Raw genomic sequence first — 18,555 nt, forward strand, 5'->3', positions numbered from 1 at the left:
ATGGGGAGAGGAGAACATGTCATCCTAGTTCCTCTCTTGATAAACCTAGAAAATCAGGTAGTAAACTGTGGTTAGTAAGGAAGACATCTAGCAAGAAAGGACATGGCTGTCAGGAAATGAAGGTGCCTGCCCCCTCTACGGAGATGGATTGCCAGGCTCTCTTGTAACTAGTAGTTAGGATCAAGGGCTTTGCAGATCAGAGATTTTGATTTGCATTCCCCTGATCATTAGTGATGTTGAGCATTTTTTCGTGTTTTCTGGCCATTTGTATATCTTTTGAGAATTGTCTATTCATGTCCTTACCCCACTTTTGGATGGGATTTTTTTTTTCTTGCTGAATTGTTTGAGTTCGTTGTAAATTCTGGATATTAGTCCTTTGTCAGATGTATAGATTGTGAAGGTTTTCTCCACTCTGTGGGTTGTCTGTTTACTCTGCTGACTGTTCCTTTTGCCACGCAAAAGATCTTTAGTTTAATTAAGTCCCAGCTATTTATCTTTGTTTTTATTGCATTTGCTTTTGGTTTTTTGGTCATGAAATCCTTGCCTAAGCCAATGTCTAGAAGGGTTTTTCCAATGTTATCTTCTAGAATTTTTTTTTTTTTGAAGTGGAGTTTTGCTCTTGTTGCCCAGGCTGGAGTGCAATGGCGCGATCTTGGCTCACCACAAACTCTGCCTCCCAGGTTCAAGCAATTCTTGTGCTTTGGCCTCCTGAGTTGCTGGGATGACAGGCATGTGCCACCATGCCTGGCTAATTTTTTGTATTTTTAATAGAGATGGGGTTTCTCCCTGTTGGTCAGGCTGGTCTTGAACTCCTGATTTCAGGTGATCCGTCCACCTTGGCCTCCCAAAGTGCTGGGATTACATGTGTGAGCCACCGTGCCCATTCTTCTAGAATTTTTATAGTTTCAGGTCTTAGATTTAAGTCCTTCATCCGTCTTGAGTTGATTTTTGTATAAGGAGAGGGAGGAGGATCCAGTTTCATTCTCCTACATGTGGCTTGCTAATTATCCCAGCACCATTTGTTGAAAAGGATATCCTTTCCCTACTTTTATGTTTTTGTTTGCTGTATGTATTTGGGTTTATTTCTGGGTTCTCTATTCTGTTCCATTGGTCTATGTGCCTATTTTTATACCAGTACCATGCTGTTTTCATGACTATGGCCTTGTAGTATAGTTTGAAGTCCGGTAATTTGATGCCTCCAGATTTGTTCTTTTTGCTTAGTCTTGCTTTGGCTACGTGGGCTCTTTTTGGTTCCATACAAATTTTTGGATTGTTTTTTCTAATTCTGTGAAGAATGATGGTGATATTTTACTGGGAATTGTATTGAATGTGTAGATTGCTTTTGGCAGTGTGATCATTTTCATTGATTTTACCCATCCATGAGCATGGGATGTGTTTCCATTTGTTTGTGTCGTCTATGATTTCTTTCAGCAGTGTTTTGTAGTTTTCCTTGTAGAGATCTTTCACCTCCTTGGTTAGGTATATCCCTAAGTTTTTTTTTTTTTTTTTTTTTGGAGATGGAGTCTTACTCTGTCACCCAGGCTGGAGTGAGTACAGTGGTGTGATCTCAACTCACTGCAACCTCTGCCTCCTGGGTTCAAGCGATTCTCCTGCCTCAGCCTCCTGAGTAGCTGGGATTACAGGTGCCCACCACCACACCCAGCTAATTTTGTATTTTTAGTAGAGACTGGGTTTCACCATGTTAGCCAGGCCGATCATGAACTCCTGACCTCAGGTGATCCGCCCAACTCAGCCTCCCAAAGTTCTGGGATTACAGGCGTGAACCACCGCACCTGGCCCATCCCTAAGTTATTTTATTTTGTTTTTTGCATCTATGGTAAAAGGGGTTGAGTTCTTGATTTGATTCTCAGCTTGGTTGCTGTTGGTGTATAGAAGAGCTACCGATTTGTGTACATTAATTTTATATCTGGAAACTTTGCTGAATTCTTTTATCAGTTCAAGGAGCTTTCTGGAGGAATCTTTAGAGTTTTCTAGGTATACAATCATTATCATCAGCAAACAGAGACAGTTTGACTTCCTCTTTACCAATTTGGATGCCCTTTATTTCTGTCTCTTGTCTGATTGCTCTGGCTAGGACTTCCGATACTATGTTGAAGAGGAGTGGTGAGAGTGGGCATCCTTGTCCTGTTCCAGTTCTCAGATGGAATGCTTTCAACTCTTCCCCATTCGGTATTATGTTGGCTATGGGTTTGTCATAGATGGCTTTTATTACATTGAGGTATGTCCCTTGTATGCCGATTTTGCTGAGAGTTTTAATCATAAAGGGATGCTGGATTTTGTCGAATGCTTTTTCTGCATCTATTCAGATGATCATGTGATTTTTGTTTTTAATTCTGTTTTTGTGGTGTATCACATTTATTGACTTGTGCATATTAAACCATTCCTGCATCCCTGGTATGAAACCCACCTGATGATGGTGGATTATCTTTTTGATATGTCGTTGGATTCGGTTAGCTAGTATTTGTTAAGAATTTTAGCATCTATGTTCATCAGGGATATTGGTCTGTAGTTTTCTTTTTTGGTAATGTCCCTTCCTGCTTTTGGTATTAGGGTGATACTGGCTTCATAGAATGATTTAGGGAGGGTTCCCTTTTTCTCTATCTTGTGGAATAATGTCAGTAGGATTGGCACCAATTCTTCTCTGACTGTCTGGTAGAATTCTGCTGTGAATCTGTCTGGTCCTGGACTTTTTGGTGTTGGTAATTTTTAAATTACAATTTCAATCTCACTGCTTGTTATTGGTCTATTCAGGGTATCTGATTCTTCCTGATTTAAGCTAGGAGGGTTGTATCTTTCCAGAAATTTATCCATCTCTTCTAGGTTTTCTAGTTTATGTGTGTAATGGTGTTCATAGAAGCCTTAAATGATCTTTTGTATTTCAGTGGTGTCAGTTGTAATATCTCCTGTTTCATTTCTTACTGAGTTTATTTGGATTTTCTCTCTTCTTTTCTTGGTTAGTCTTACTCATGGTCTATCAGTTTTATTTATCTTTTCAAAGAACCAGCTTTTTGTTTCATTTATCTTTTGTATTGTTTTGTTTCAATTTCATCTAGTTCTGGTCTGATGTTGGTTATTTCTTTTCTTCTACGGGGTTTGAGTTTGGTTTGTTCTTATTTCTCTAGTTCCTTGAGGTGTGACCTTAGATTGTCTGTTTGTGCTCTTTCAGACTTTTTGATGTAGGTGTTTAGGGCTGTGAACTTTCCTCTTAGCATTGCCTTTGCTGTATCTCAGAGGTTTTGATAGGTTGTGTCACTGTTGTCACTCAGTTCAAAGAATTTTTAAATTTCCATCTTGATTTCATTTTTGACCCAATGATCATTCAGTAGCAGGTTATTTAATTTCCATGTATTTGCATGGTTTTGAAGGTTCCTTTTGGAGTTGATTTCCAGTTTTATTCCACTATGGTCTGAGAGAGTGCTTGATATAATTTCAACTTTCTAGCCGAGGCGTGGTGGCTCACGCCTGTAATCCCGGCACTTTGGGAGGCCAGGGTGGGCAGATCACCTGAGGTCAGGAGTTCAAGACCAGCCTGGTCAACATGGTGAAACCCTGTCTCTACTAAAAATACAAAAAAATTAGCCGGGCATGGTGGCGCATGCCTGTAATGCCAGCTACTTGGGAGGCTGAGGCAGGAAAATCGCTTGAACCTGGGAGGTGGAGGTTGCAGTGAACCAAGATTGCACTACTGCACTCCAGCCTGGGTGACAGAGCAAGACTCCATTTCAAAAAATAAAATAATCATCATAATAATTTCAGTTTTCTTAAATTTATTGAGGCTTGTTTTGTGGTCTTCTCATATGGTCTATCTTGGAGAAAGTTCCAGGCACCTGTTGAATAGAACGTATATTCTGCGGTTGTTGGATGGAATGTTCTGTATGTATCTGTTAAGTTCATTTGTTCCAGGGTGTAGTTTAAATCCATTGTTTCTTTGTTGACTTTCTGTCTTGATGACCTGTTTAGTGCTGTCAGTGGAGTATTGAAGTCCCCCACGATTATCGTGTTGCTGTCTATCTCATTTCTTAAGTCTATTAGTAATTGTTTTATAAATTTTGGAACTCCAGTGTTAGGTGCATATATGTTTAGGATTGTGATATTTTTCTGTTGGACAAGGCCTTTTATCATTACATAATGTCCCTCTTTGTCTTTTTTAACTGCTGTTTCTTTAAAGTTTGTTTTGTCTGATATGAGAATAACTACTCCTGCTCGCTTTTGGTGTCCTTTTGCATGAAATGTCTTTTTCCACGCCTTTACCTTAAGTTTATGTGAGTCCTTATGTGTTAGGTGAGTCTCTTGAAGACAGCAGATGGTTGGTGAATTCTTATTCATTCTGCAATTCTGTATCTCTTAAGTGGAGCATTTAGGCCATTTACATTCAATGTTAGTATTGAGATGTGAGGTACCATTCCATTCATCATGCTACTTCTTGCTTATATGCCTTGGGTTTTGTTTGTAATATTGTATTTTTGTTTTATAGGTCCTGTGTGATTTATGCCTTAAAGAGGTTCTGTTTTGATGTGTTTCCAGGATTCAAGATTTAGAGCTCCTTTTAGCAGTTCTTGTAGTGGTGGCTTGGTAGTGGCAAATTCTCTCAGCATTTATTTGTCTGAAAAAGGCTGTATCTTTCCTTCATATGTGAAGCTTATTTTCTCTGGATACTAAATTCTTGGCTGATAATTGTTTTGTTTGAGGAGGCTGAAGATAGGGCCCCAATCCCTTCTAGCTTGTAGGATTTCTGCTGAGAAATCTGCTGTTAATCTGGTAGGTTTCCTTTATAGGTTACCTGGTGCTTTTGTCTCACTGCTCTCAAGATTCTTTCCTTTGTTGGGAGGTTGAGGCTGGAGAGTGGTGTGAACCCAGGAGGAGGAGTTTGCAGTGAGCCGAGATCGCGCCACCTTACTCCAGCCTGGACGACAGAGCGAGACTCCATCTCAAAAAAAAAAAAAAAAAGAAAAGGAAAGAAAACCTGATGACAATGTGCCTCGCCAATGATCTTTTTGTGATGAATTTCCCGAGTGTTCTTTGTGCTTCTTGTATTTGGATGTCTTGGTCTCTAGCAAAGCTGGGGAAGTTTTCCTTGATTATTCCCCCAAATATATTTTCCAAACTTTCGTATTTCTCTTCTTTCTCGGGAGTGCCAATTATTCTCACATTTGGTCGTTTAACATCATCCCAGACTTCTTGGAGACTTTGTTCGTATTTTCTTATTCTTTTTTCTTTGTCTTTGTTGTATTGGGTGAATTCGAAGACCTTGTCTTCGGGCTCTGACTTTTTTTTTCTTTTCTTTTTTTGAGACAGAGTCTCGCTCTGTTGCCAGGCTGGAGTGCAATGGTGTGATCTCAGCTCACTGCAACCTCCGCCTCCTGGGTTCAAGTGATTCTCATGCCTCAGCCTCCCGAGTAGCTGGGATTACAGGCACGTGCCACCATACCCAGCTAATTTTTGTATTTTTAGTAGAGACGGGTTTCACCATGTTGGCCAGGATGGTCTCAATCTCCTGACCTCGTGATCCGCCCACCTTGGCCTCCCAAAGTGCTGGGATTACAGGCGTGAGCTACCATGCCCGGCTGACTTTCTTTCTTCCACTTGTTCGATTCTATTGCTGAGACTTTCCAGAGCATTTTGCATTTCTGTAAGTTGTCCATTGTTTCCTGAAATTTTGATTGTTTTTTATTTATGCCATCTATTTCATTGAATAGTTCTCCTTTCACTTCTTGTATGATTTTTTTATTTCCTTACATTGGGCTTCACCTTTCTCTGGTGCCTCCCTGATTAGCTTAATAACTAACCTCCTGAATTCTTTTTCAGGTACATCAGGGATTTCTTCTTGGTTTGGATCCATTGCTGGTGAGCTAGTATGATTTTTGGAGGGTGTTAAAGAACCTTATTTTGTCATAGTACTAGAGTTGGTTTTCTGGTTCTTTCTCATTTGGGTAGGCTCTGTCAGAGGGAAGGTCTGGGGCTGAAGGCTGTTGTTCAGATTCTTTTGTCCCATGGGGTGTGCCCTTGATGTAGTACTCTCCCTCTTTTCCTATGGTTGTGGCTTCCTGAGAGCCGAGCCGTAGGGACTATTATCTCTCTTCAGGATCTAGCCACCCAGCAAGTCTACTAGGCTCCGGGCTGGTACTGGGGGTTGTCTGTACAGAGTCCTGTGATGTGAACTGTCTATGGGTCTCTCAGCCATGGATACCAGCACCTGTTCTGATGGAGGTGGCAGTGGGGTGAAATGGACTCTGTGATGGTTCTTAACTTTGGTAGTTTAATGCTCTGTTTTTGTGCTGGTTGGCCTTCTGCCGGTAGGTGGTGATTTCCAGAGAGCATCAGCTATGGTAGTGTAGGGAGGAACAGGCGGTGGGTGGGGCCCTAGAACTCCCAAGAGTATATTCCCTTAGTCTTCAGTTACCAGGATAGGTAGGGAAGGATCATTGGGTGGGGGCAGGATTAGGAGTGTCTGAACTCAGACTCTCCTTGGGTGGGTCTTGCTGTGGCTGCTGTGGGGATATGGGTGAGGTTCCCAGGTCAATGGAGTTATGTTCCTAGGAGGATTATGGCTGTCTCTGCTGAGTCATGCAGGTTGTCAGGGAAATGGGGAAAAGTCAGCAGTCACAGGCCTCACCCAGCTCCCATGCAATCCAAAGGGCCGGTCTCACTCCCACGGTACCCCCCACCCTCAAAACCACCAAGTCTGTTTGCAGGCAATGGGTGAGCAAGAAAGCAGGGGATTTTAAAGGGGACTTGGCATGAATGGCATGTAAGGGAGAGAGTGAGGAAGTGTGGGGTCTTCATGACTTGCTTTGATGTCTTATCCATCAGGTGGTCTGGCTGGTGCCATCGTGGGCAGAACTAGGTTGTACATTGACTGTTGTCTCAAGGCAATCTCCTGGTGGGGAGAATCTCAGGGGGTGCCTGGTTTGGTTCAACGTTTGTTCCTTAGAATTTCTTTTTGTTTTGTTTGGTTTGGTTTGGTTTGGTTTTGAGACTCTCACTGTGTCACCCAGGCTGGAGTGCAGTGGCGTGATCTTGGCTCACTGCAACCTCTGCCTCCTGTGTTCAAACGATTCTCCTGCCTCAGCCTCCTGAGTAGCTGGGATTACAGGCCTATACCACCATACCCAGCTAATTTTTGTATTTTAGTAGAGATGGGGTTTTGCCATGTTGGCCAGGCTGGTCTCGAACTCCTGACCTCAAGTGATCCAACAGCCTCGCCCTCCCAAAGTGCTGAGATTACAGGCGTGAGACACCGTGCCTGGCCTCCTTAGAATTTCTAAGCAAACATATAGTTAGATGAGCTTGCAGCACAGAGAGTGCCTCATGGGAAGAAGGTAAATGTTATAATTGCGTTCCTTTTTTTATTTTCTTCAACTTTTATTTTAAGTTCATGGGTACATGTGCAGGATGTACAGGTTTGTTACATAGGTAAACCTACACAGGTTTGTTACAGGTTTGTTACATAGGTAACTTTTAAGTTAATGGGTACATGTGCGGGATGTACAGGTTTGTTACATACTCTCTGCAGGACAGAGAGTGCCTCATGGAAAGAAGGTAAATGTTATAATTGCGTTCCTTTTTTTTTTTCTTCAACTTTTAAGTTCATGGGTACATGTGCAGGATGTACAGGTTTGTTACATAGGTGCAGGATGTACAGGTTTGTTACATAGGTACATGTGCAGGATGTACAGGTTTGTTACATGTGCCATAGTGGTTTGCTGCACAGATCATCCCATCACCTAAGTGTTAAGCCCAGCATCCATTAGTTGTTCTTCCTGATGTTCTCCCCCAACATACCCAGGCCCCAGTATGTGTTCCCCGCAATGTGTCCATGTGTTCTCATCATTCAGCTCCCACTTATAAGTGAGAACATGCGGTGTTTGGTTTTCTGTTCCTGTGTTAGTTTGCTGTGGATGATGGCTTCAAGCTCCATCCATGTCCCTGCAAAGGACATGATCTCATTTTTTTTATGGCTGCATAGTATTCCAAGGTGTGTATGTACCACATTTTCTTTATCCAGTCTATCATTGATGGGAATTTAGATTGATTCCATGTCTTTGCTATTGTGAATAGTGCTGCAATGAACATAGGTGTGCATGTATTTTTATAATAGAATGATTTATATTCCTTTAGGCATATACCCAGTAATGGGATTGCTGGGTCAAATGGTATTTCTTTCTCTAGGTCTTTGAGGAATCACCACACTGCCTTCCACAATGGTTGAACTAATTTACGCTCCCACCAACAGTGTAAAGTCTTCCTTTTTCTCCGCAACCTTGCCAGCATCTGTTGTTTGACTTTTTAATAATAGCCATTCTGACTGGCATGAGATGGTATCTCATTGTGGTTTTGATTTGCATTTCTCTGATGATCAGTGATGTTGAGGTTTTTTTCATACGTTTGTTGGCTGCATGAATATCTTCTTTTGAGAAGTGTCTGTTTATGTCCTTTGACCACCTTTTTTTTTTTTTGAGATGGAGTCTCGCTCTGTCGCCCAGGCTGAAGTGCAGTGGCGCGATCTTGGCTCACTGCAAGCTCCGCCTCCTGGGTTCATGCCATTCTTCTGCCTCAGCCTCCCGAGTAGCTGGGACTACAGGCGCCCGCCACCACACCTGGCTAATTTTTTGTATTTTTTAGTAAAGACGGGGTTTCACCGTGTTAGCCAGGATGGTCTCGGTCTCCTGACCTCGTGATCTGCCCGCCTCGGCCTCCCAAAGTGCTGGATTACAGGCGTGAGCCAACATGCCTGGCCGACCACTTTTTAATGTTTTTTGTTTGTTTGTTTGTTTGTTTTTCATAATTGCATTCCTAAAGAGCTAAGTAAGAGGTGGGGGAAAAGGAAAAAGGTAAAAATAATTCATTATTTTCTTTAAGAATGTGGGTGCTCAGTTAACAGCTTTCAGGAGTCAACTTGCCAAAGTTAATATTTTGTAACTTCATGAATAGATCACGTTTCTGTGGTTCATGGTTTTTAATTTACAAAGTGCCTCACAATTTCTACAGGAAGTAGGTATTACTCTTTCCATTCTTATAGCCAAAGAAACTGATGATTGTCTAGTAAATTCCGTAAGTAAGACTTTTGTTCTGTATCATAGCCCTTCTGGTTATGGAGTTGGCAGTGTAGTATGTTGGAAGCTTGATGTAGCCCTCATGGTATTTCTTCTGACCCTTGTATATGTTTGCATTGATCCCACGGCCCAGTTAGCTAGTTACTTTTTTTTTTTTTTTTTTGAGACGAAGTCTCACTCTGTCGTCCAGGCTGGAGTGCAGTGGTGCGATCTCAGCTCACTGCAAGCTCCTCCTCCCGGGTTCACGCCATTCTTCTGCCTCAACATCCCGAGTAGCTGGGACTACAGGCGCCCGCCACCATGCCGGGCTAACAATTAGCTAGTTACTTTTTAAGATATTTAAGATTACTTTTGTTGCATGGTTTTATAGACTTTCCCTGGAGTGATGAGTAAAATGTCCGGCAAGATTAGTATTTTGGGGAGATCATGGAGGCTTACTCTAGACCAGCACTGTCCTATAGAAATATGAGGTGAGCCAGATACTTAATTTAAAATTTTCTAGTAGTCACATTAAAGAAAAAAGTAGATTAATTTGAGTAGATTAAAAAAGTAGATTAAGTAGATTAATTTTATTAATATATTTTGTTTAACCCAGAATATTATATCCTGGAATAATAATATCCAGAATATTATTTTAACATGTAATCAATATTTTAAAATTATTAATGATACATTTTACATTCTTCTTTTGTGTACTGAGTCTTCATAATCCGATGCGTATTTTGTGCTTACAGAGCATCTCGGTTAGTACTAGGCATGCTTTCAGTACTCTGATGAGTTGGACCTCACAGATTTAGACTCATGTATGTTTCCCTCTTTTTTCCCCTTGTTTCCCGTCTCATTAATTTGTGGCCATTAGCTTTGCCTGTTCTTTCCTGGACTTTGCTGCCTTTTCTATTCTCCTTCTTCCGACTTACCTTGTACTTAATGTGGTGTATTCTTGGCCTCTTTGTGAATTTGGTCTAAGCCATTTTCTCTTGTAAGCCCGATTACAATTTGTCAGGAAAGGGCTGGTGACCTGGGAGGAGGCTGCAAGGAGGCTATTGTCTGAAACACACACTTTTTTTTTTTTTTTTTTTTTTTGAGATGGAGGCTTGCTCTGTCACCCAGGCTGGAGTGCAGTGGCATGATCTCGGCTCATTGCAACCTCCGCTTAGCGGGTTCAAGCAATTCTCCTGCCTCAGCCTCCTGAGTAGCTGGGATTACAGGGGTGCACCACCACGCCCAGCTAATTTTTGTATTTTCAGTAGAGATAGGGTTTCAGTGTGTTGGTCAGGCTGGTTTCAAACTCCTGACTTCGTGATGCACCCGCCTCGGCCTCCCAAAGTGCTGGGAGACGCAGACTTCTTTCTTTTTCTTTTTCTTTTTTTTTTTTTTTCTTGAGACGGAGTCTAGCTCTCTCCTCCAGGCTGGAGTGCAGTGGCACGATCTCGGCTCACTGCAAGCTCCGCCTCCTGGGTTCACGCCATTCTCCCGCCTCAGCCTCCCGAATAGCTGGGACTAGAAGCACCCACCACCACGCCCGGCTAATTTTTTTGTATTTTTAGCAGAGACAGGGTTTCACCGTGTTAGCCAGGATGGTCTCCATCTCCTGACCTCGTGATCCACCCGCCTCGGCCTCCCAAAGTGCTGGGATTACAGGCGTGAGCCACCACGCCTGGCCTACAGAATTTTTTCTAAGGTGTTTCCGTCTCTTCTTCAAGTGGAGTCCATTGAAATGGTGGTAGATTATTCCATTTTGCACATTGGGGACAGTGAGTTTTATTTTCAATTTTAGAAATAAGTAGAATTTCAGAGAGAGAGAGAGTGAATATTGTGCATAGTATATTTGGGAATAAAATACCTGTTGCAGATGATAGCCTTGTATAAACAAAATGCTCTTAAAAAAACTGAATTGCAGAAGACAAAACTATCTTCATTTCTTTGCTGCTAAGGTAAGTTACTTCCAATGTTTGCAAGATCAACCACTTAATTGTGTTGTATGTGTATATGTGTAAATACATGTGCATCTAAAGGACAATTTCAAAGTAATGTTATTTAATATGATTTCTTTTCAACTTCTTAACACAGAAAAATCTGGACAAATACCCTAGCGTAGTTATTTAAAATGATAAAATTTTAAAATAAAACATTGAAGTATGTTGCTATGCATTGATATTCCATATTTTCTCTTAGAAACGGAGAAGATAAAGATATTTATCATTTACCTGAAGAAGCCCATGATTATCAGCTACAAAGAAGTCATGAAAATAGAAATCCATTTTGATTTGCAGTTCAACATATCACAAGTTTCCATTCAAGCTTTAGGAGAAGACAAACAGGTGGCAGGTTTCATTCTTTTGGATTATTTAAAAATGTTTTAGTATGTTTCATGTCTATTAAATGTCCTTGTTGGGTTTTGATGTGAATATTTGATAAAGCAGAAAACCTGGTCTTTCAAATGCCATGTAAAAAAGAGTTGAGAGTTCTGGATTTAAATCCCAGTTTTCCCTTTTGATGGGTCATTGTCTTGAGGTAGGATAGAAAGCCTCTTTGTTCCTTGAAATGCTTTACTCTACTAACTGTGAACAGCTGAAAGGTTTTCTAGGATAATATCACCCTGTTACCACCTTCTTCCTGGAGTCCTGAGGACACTGGCATTTCTGTCTCTCTCAGCTCCCCCTGGACCTAGGGGGAGTGTATTAGTCTGTTCTCACGCTGCTAATAAAGACATACCAGAGACTGGGTAATTTATAAAGGAAAGAGGTTTAATGGACTCACAGTTCAACATGGCTGGGGAGGCTTCACAATCATGGTAGAAGGCAAAGGAGGAGCAAAGTCACATCTTACATGGCGGCAGGCAAGAGAGTAGGGGAACTCCCCTTTATAAAACCATCAGATCTTGTGAGACTTACTGTCAGAACAGCATGGGAAAGACCCATCCCCATGTTTCAGTTACCTCCCATGGGGTCTCTCCCATGACATGTGGGAATTACGGGAGCTACAATTCAAGATGAGATTTGGGTGGGGACACAGCCAGACTGTATCAGGGAGTCATTAGGAATAAAGTTTCTGAGGGACTTTTTCCACAGTTGTACCTGTTGGTCTTATCTTGTGGAAATGGTCTGTACTTCTCTAGATTGCTGTGGTCTCCAACTCTCTCTGTTTCCTACTTATTGACAGAAACAGGAAACCTTTCTGTATCACAGATGGTAGACAGGGCAAAGAAATTTGTGACAAAAGGCAAAAAATACTGTGGTAATGGCCCATAGAAAGTTGAATTAAGAGCTCAGAGACCAGATAAGGAAGTCTTGGGCTGGTTTCCTTTTGGTTTGAGTTGTATATGAAGGTGTTTATATGTAGCAAAGTGCTCTGAAAATAGTTTCTAAAAACTCACCTTATTTTAATGACATGGTCTTTTTACAAAAAGGCCATTTCATGGATGAGGATGAGAAATAAAGGGGAAATCAGTCACTTGGTTAAAAAACACCTCCTCCATCAAATTACATATGTTCTGAAGACAAGTTTGCCTTAACTCACAAAAACATCGAAATCATATGTCTTTCCAGTTTCACAAAATGAATAATAACGTTTTGAGGGGAGAATGAGGATTTTCCTGTGATAAAGCTGTAGTTCCTAGAATAGGAGGCCCCTATTCTAGGGAAAGGGGTTGGACTGAGGACCCTATAGTTGGGAACTCACTACAGACTCATCCTGAAAGAGACTCAGTGCCTGAGAGAAGCAGCGGTTAGACGTTACCCAATGGGGTAAGACCTGGGCCAGAGACAGGAGAGGCTGGGAAGATACCAGGAAAGAGTGCTTGGAGCAGGGGAATGGCTAGCCCGAGCTGGTCCTGTAGGGAGGTGGGGCCTGGAGAAGCCAGAAACAGTGGAATGATCCTTCAGGAGAGGACAAACTGGTAAACTTGACTAACTTCTGATTTATCAGTGTGTTTTGTTCTAAGCTTTACGTTTTCCTTAAATTTTTTTTTTTTTAAAGATGACTACATTTCAAAGTTGACCTTTGTCTTGCATTTCAGATGTTGCCTGACCAGACGAAAATCTCCTCAGAACTTTTTAGTAAGTCTGATAAAGAAGACAGGGAGAGTCCCAGTGGCCTTGAAAGAGAAACAGGTATATTGGGAAATAACAAAATTCTGACCCTGAGTTTTCTGTAAAAGCGATGAAACCTTAGTTGGAAGAGGTCACTGGAAACCTGTGGTCATATGAGTGATGCGTGTCTGATGGCACTTCTGGAGGAAGAAGAGTTGCTGATAGCCTTGAATTGTTTTCTACACCTGTTAAGGTCTCTCTTGTGGGTCAACTGGAAATGACAAAGAAGAAATGATGGGGTTTGGGGGAGGCAGGACATGGGGGTAAGGAAGGTCTTGTCTACCCACAAAGTCGGCCCTGCACTAGACCGTGTTTCTCTTTTGAGTTATGCCCCAAGGCTGTTTTCCCAAGTGCCCATAGATTTCTTTTCTTTTTTTTTTTTTTTTGAGATGGAGTCTTGCTCTGTTGCCCAGGCTGGAGTGCAGTGGCACGATCTCGGCTCACTGCAACCTCTGCCTCCTAGGTTTAAGCAACTCTTCTGCCTCAGCCTCCCAAGTAGCTGGTACTACAGGTGTGTGCCACCATGCCCAGCTAATTTTTTGTATTTTCAGCAGAGACGGGATTTTGCCATGTTGGCCAGGCTGGTCTCAAACTCCTGGCCTCAAGTGATCTGCCCATTTTGGCCTCCCAAAGTCCTGGGATTACAGACGTGAGCCAACATGCCAGCCTGTACCCATAGCTTTCTGATTGGAGGTTTGAGGCAGGACCTAATTACCAGGTCTTACCAAAGGATGGAGAGGTACCAGAGGGGACATCCCATGAAGACCACTGGTGAGTATGTCAGCGTGTGCACGGTTATTATATTAGTCTTTTTCTTAATTTGTATAGAGCAGGCAGAAGAATCCACTAACATGGTGGAGTTTATGAGTGCTGAAGATGACCGCTGCCTAATAACTCTCCACTTAAATGACCAATCTGAGCCACCTGTTATTGGGGAACCTGCCTCTGATAGTCACGTAGGTTCTTTTCTATTTTCCCTAAGCATCGGCCAGGTTGAGAAATAAAGGGACGGACTACAAAAGAGAGAAATTTTAAAGTTGGGCATCCAGGGGAGACATCACATGTCGGTAGGTTCCGTGATGCCCCCTGAGCTGTAAAACCAGCAAGTTTTTATTAGGGATTTTCAAAAGGGGAGGGAGTGTACGAATAGGGTGTGGGTCACAGAGATCACGTACTTCACAAGGTAATAGAATATCACAAGGCAAATGGAGGCAGGGCGAGATCACAGGACCACAGGACCGGGGCGAAATTAAAATTGCTAATGAAGTTTCGGGCACCATTGTCATCAATAACATCGTATCAGGAGACAGGGTTTGAGAGCAACCGGTCTGACCAAAATTTATTAGGCGAGAATTTCCTCGCCCTAATAAGCCTGGGAGCGCTATGGGAGACTGGGGCTTATTTTATCCCTACAGTCTCGACCATAGAAGATGGTCACACCCAAGGGGGCCATTTTAGAGGCCCACCCTCAGGGGCGCATTCTCTTTCTCAGGTATGTTCCTTGCTGAGAAAAAGAATTCAGCGATATTTCTCCCATTTGCTTTTGAAGGAAGAGAAATATGGCTCTGTTCCACCCGGCTCACCGGCGGTCAGAGTTTAAGGTTATCTCTCTTATTCCCTGAACATTGCTGTTATCCTGTTCTTTTTTCAAGGTGCCCAGATTTCATATTGTTCAAACACACATGCTCTACAATTTGTGCAGTTAACGCAATCATCACAGGGTCCTGAGGTGACATACATCCTCCTCAGCTGACAGGATTAAGAGATTAAAGACAGGCATAGGAAATCACAAGGGTATTGTGATACCCTTGTGATACAAGGGTATCACAAGGCATAGGAAATCACAAGGGGAAGTGATAAGTGTCCATGAAATCTTCACAATTTATGTTCAGAGATTGAGTAAAGACAGGCATAAGAAATTATAAAAGTATTAATTTGGGGAACTAATAAATGTCTATGAAATCTTCACAATCCACGTTCTTCTGCCATAGCTTCAGCCGGTCCCTCCGTTCGGGGTCCCTGACTTCCCGCAACAACCTGTGAGTACAGGGAGTGGGGCTCAAGTTTCTTATCTGTCTCCAGTGGGACTGTGACAGGTGGAAGCCACCTTTCCTGGTTCATGGACCATTTTCTCCTGGCCAACCATCTGTCAATTTAAAAAAATTTTTTTAAGACAAGGCCTTGTTCTGTCATCATAGCTCACCGTGGCCTCAGCCTCCCAGGCTCATGTGATCCTCCCGCTTCAGCTTCTTGAGTAGCAAGAACTACAGGTGGTGCCACCACGCCTGGCTTATTTTAAAATTTTTTATAGAGATGGAGTCTCGCTCCATTCCCCAGGCTGGTCTCAAACTCCTGGACTTAAGAGATTCTCCCATTTTGGCTTCCCAAATCTCTGGGATTACAGGCATGAGCCACCATGCCCCATCAGCCATCTGTCAATTTTTTGACCATCCCCTCCTTGAGATTGTTTTTGCCTCCATGTTTGTGTATACTCTTTTCTTTACTTTTTTTTTTTTTTTAAGACTGAGTTTCGCTAATGGCACAATCTTGGCTCACTGCCACCTCCGCCTTCTGGGTTCAAGCAATTCTCCTGCTTCAGCCTCCTGAGTAGCTAGGATTATAGGGGCATGCCACCATGCCTACCTAATTTTTGTATCTTTAGTAGAGACTGGGATTTGCCATGTTGGCCAGACTGGTCTCAAACTCCTGACCTCAGGTGATCACCAGCCTCCGCCTCCCAAAGTGCTGGGATTACAGGCATGAGCAACCACACCTGGCCGCACCCGGCTGTGTATTCTCTTTTCATTCAACTCGGCTTTTCCTTGGAATACATGACTTGTTTGGCCTCTGCCTCATTTCTTCATTTGGGATCTAGAGACTGAAGGAGCCTAATGTTTGGGAGTGAGACTTAGCTCCTCCCTGGCCTGAAATGAGAATGAACTATTAGCAGCTGAATGCTACAGCCCCTTAAGAGGCAGGAGGGCTTGAGGACTGGGCCCTGAAGATACCCAACAAACAGAACTCAAAAAAACAAGCTCCATATTAAAATCAAGCACAAACATGTATTCATCACAGCATTTATGAAAATTAATGTAAGAACAGAAAAATTTTAAAAATATAAATATCAAAGTACAGTTGAATAATCCATCAGAAAGATTAAACTTGCCCTAAATCTCTAATCTTTTATAATCCAGGCTTAATTTCAAAATGCTTTATGTTTTAAACAGAAATTACCCTCCTGGGCTGGGTGCGGTGGCTCACACCCGTAATCCCAGCACTTTGGGAGGCCAAGGTGGGTGGATCATCTGAGGTCAGGAGTTTGAGACCAGCCTGGCCAACATAGTGAAACTCCGTCTCTAGTAAAAGTACAAAAAAAAAAAATTAGCTGGGTGGTGGCATGCGCCTGTAATCCCAGCTACTCTGGAGGCTGAGGCAGGATAATTGCTTGAACACAGGAGGCAGAGGATACAGTGAGCCAAGATGGCGCCACTGCACTCCAGCCTGGGCGATAGGGTGAGACTCCATCTCAAAAAAAAGAAAAAAGAAAAAGAAATAACTCTCCTCTTTGGTTTTGGTTCTTCTAAAATGTAGAGAGGCTTGTCTTTGCAAAAAATATTCCCATACTTTTCTTTTGCCATCTGACTTAGTATTTTCAAGTAGTATTAGGCACAATATTGAGATTGGTCTGCTTTTGAACAGTCATCCACCATCTCTTCTGTTGCAAACGTTTTATTAGAAAGGATTTTGTCATCCTATACAACAGCAACTTGGTTGAGAATTGACTGATGGAATAATCCTTTTCTTCCACTCCATACTTCTTTGCTTTTATATTATATAAGAGAGCCCAGTCTTCTAGAAGGGTACTTCTCTTATCTCTAGCTTTGTAGAATATGTTTAGTTATACATAAGAGGCACTAACACCCCTCTAAAAATTCTCATTTATGATCTGTGCTTGTAGAAGTCTCATTACAGAAAACATCTCTTCTCTGAGAGTAATCAAGATTCAAGTACCAGTGAACTATCTTGGACCAGTAACCAGAAAAAGAAATCCCTAAAATCATATTCCAGTAGAAAGAAGACAAGAACCAGAAGTAATTTGAGAAGTAAGTCTGGCATGTCTTCTTTTGAATCACTTTTCAAATAGTGATTTTCAAATCAGATATTTATTTTTCAGTATATAATGGGAGTGGGTCCAAAGAAATATATGATTATGGGGCCAGCTTTCCCTGCTACAGTTACACTGGAAAGGCAAAATGTACTGTGTACATGAAACAGAAGAACATGAAATTAACCAACAGTTGTTACAGATGAGTTTTGTATAAATGGAGTAGAAATTCAGATAAGAGGAATCTGTCATGAGCTGGAATCATCAGGAAAATCTTTAAGGAAGAGGTGGGTGGGACTTGAATTAACCTTTGGAAAAAAGAATAGAATGTGAAGAGGAGAAAGGGAAGCATTCTTAGGTAGGTAAAACTACAAGGGCATGCATGGTGGCTCACGCCTCTAATCCTGGCACTTTGGGAGGCCGAGGTGGGAGGGTTGTTTGAGCCCAGGAGTTTGAGACCAGCCTAGGCAATGTGGTGAGACCACACCTCTAGAAAATTAAAACATTAGCTGGGCATGGTGGTGTGCGCCTGTGGTCCCAGCTACTGGGGAGGCTGAGGCAGGAGGATTGCTTGAGCCCAGGAGGTCAAGGCTGCAGCGAGCAGTGATCGTGCCACTGCACTGCAGCTCAGGCGACAGAGTGAGACCCTGTCTCAAACGAAACAAACTACAAGGACACAACAAGCATGTGAGGGTGACATTCAGGGACAAAGTCTAGAGCAGAGAATTCATGCTGAGTGGTGAGGAACTGAGTGGTGAGGAACAAGGTTGAATAATCAGGAAAGGATCTTAAGAGTAGACATTTCTGGAAGCTGTAGGAAGTGGGAATTGCTTTTAGTGTTAGCATATTGGGAGACGGAGTAGAGAATTTTTATGCCTCATGAGTTAATGTATATGTTGTGCACTTGTTTTCTTTCAATTTAGTCTTGCCAGTTTTCCCTCCCAGTAGTGGCAGTGGCCATGAGAAAGACCAAGTAAGTACATTGTATCTGGGTTGCTGTGTGCCCTGTGAGTTAAACTGCATTTATTTCTCCAAAAACAACTTTCAGAAATATAAAAATAACAAAATATTGGTTTACTGATATGTGAATCACCGCCAATAGAAATTTCAAGGTCTTCTAAATGTTTAATATGACTCTTGGGTAAGTAAGTGTTTAAGGTGTTTTAGGCTGGGTGTGGTGGCTCACGCCTGTAATCCCAGCACTTTGGGATGCCAAGGCGGGTGGATCACTTGAGTTTGGGAGTTCGAGACCAGCCTGGGCAACATGGTGAAACTCCGTCTCTAC

General features: G+C 42.3%; 1 protein-coding gene across 1 annotated transcript in view; it reads left to right on the plus strand.

Moving 5' to 3' along the window:
* SYCP2L (synaptonemal complex protein 2 like) overlaps positions 1 to 18,555 on the plus strand; it is an 87,258-nt gene that overhangs the window by 26,195 nt on the left and 42,508 nt on the right. The window contains exons 15-20 of the mRNA NM_001040274.3: positions 11,250 to 11,395; positions 13,093 to 13,186; positions 13,994 to 14,121; positions 15,157 to 15,204; positions 17,124 to 17,268; positions 18,194 to 18,243. Coding sequence (NP_001035364.2) covers positions 11,250 to 11,395; positions 13,093 to 13,186; positions 13,994 to 14,121; positions 15,157 to 15,204; positions 17,124 to 17,268; positions 18,194 to 18,243 — 611 coding nt within the window. The remainder of the gene's footprint in view (positions 1 to 11,249; positions 11,396 to 13,092; positions 13,187 to 13,993; positions 14,122 to 15,156; positions 15,205 to 17,123; positions 17,269 to 18,193; positions 18,244 to 18,555) is intronic.

This window comes from Homo sapiens, chromosome 6 (genome assembly GCF_000001405.40).
Source record: "Homo sapiens chromosome 6, GRCh38.p14 Primary Assembly".
NCBI lineage: Eukaryota > Metazoa > Chordata > Mammalia > Primates > Hominidae > Homo > Homo sapiens.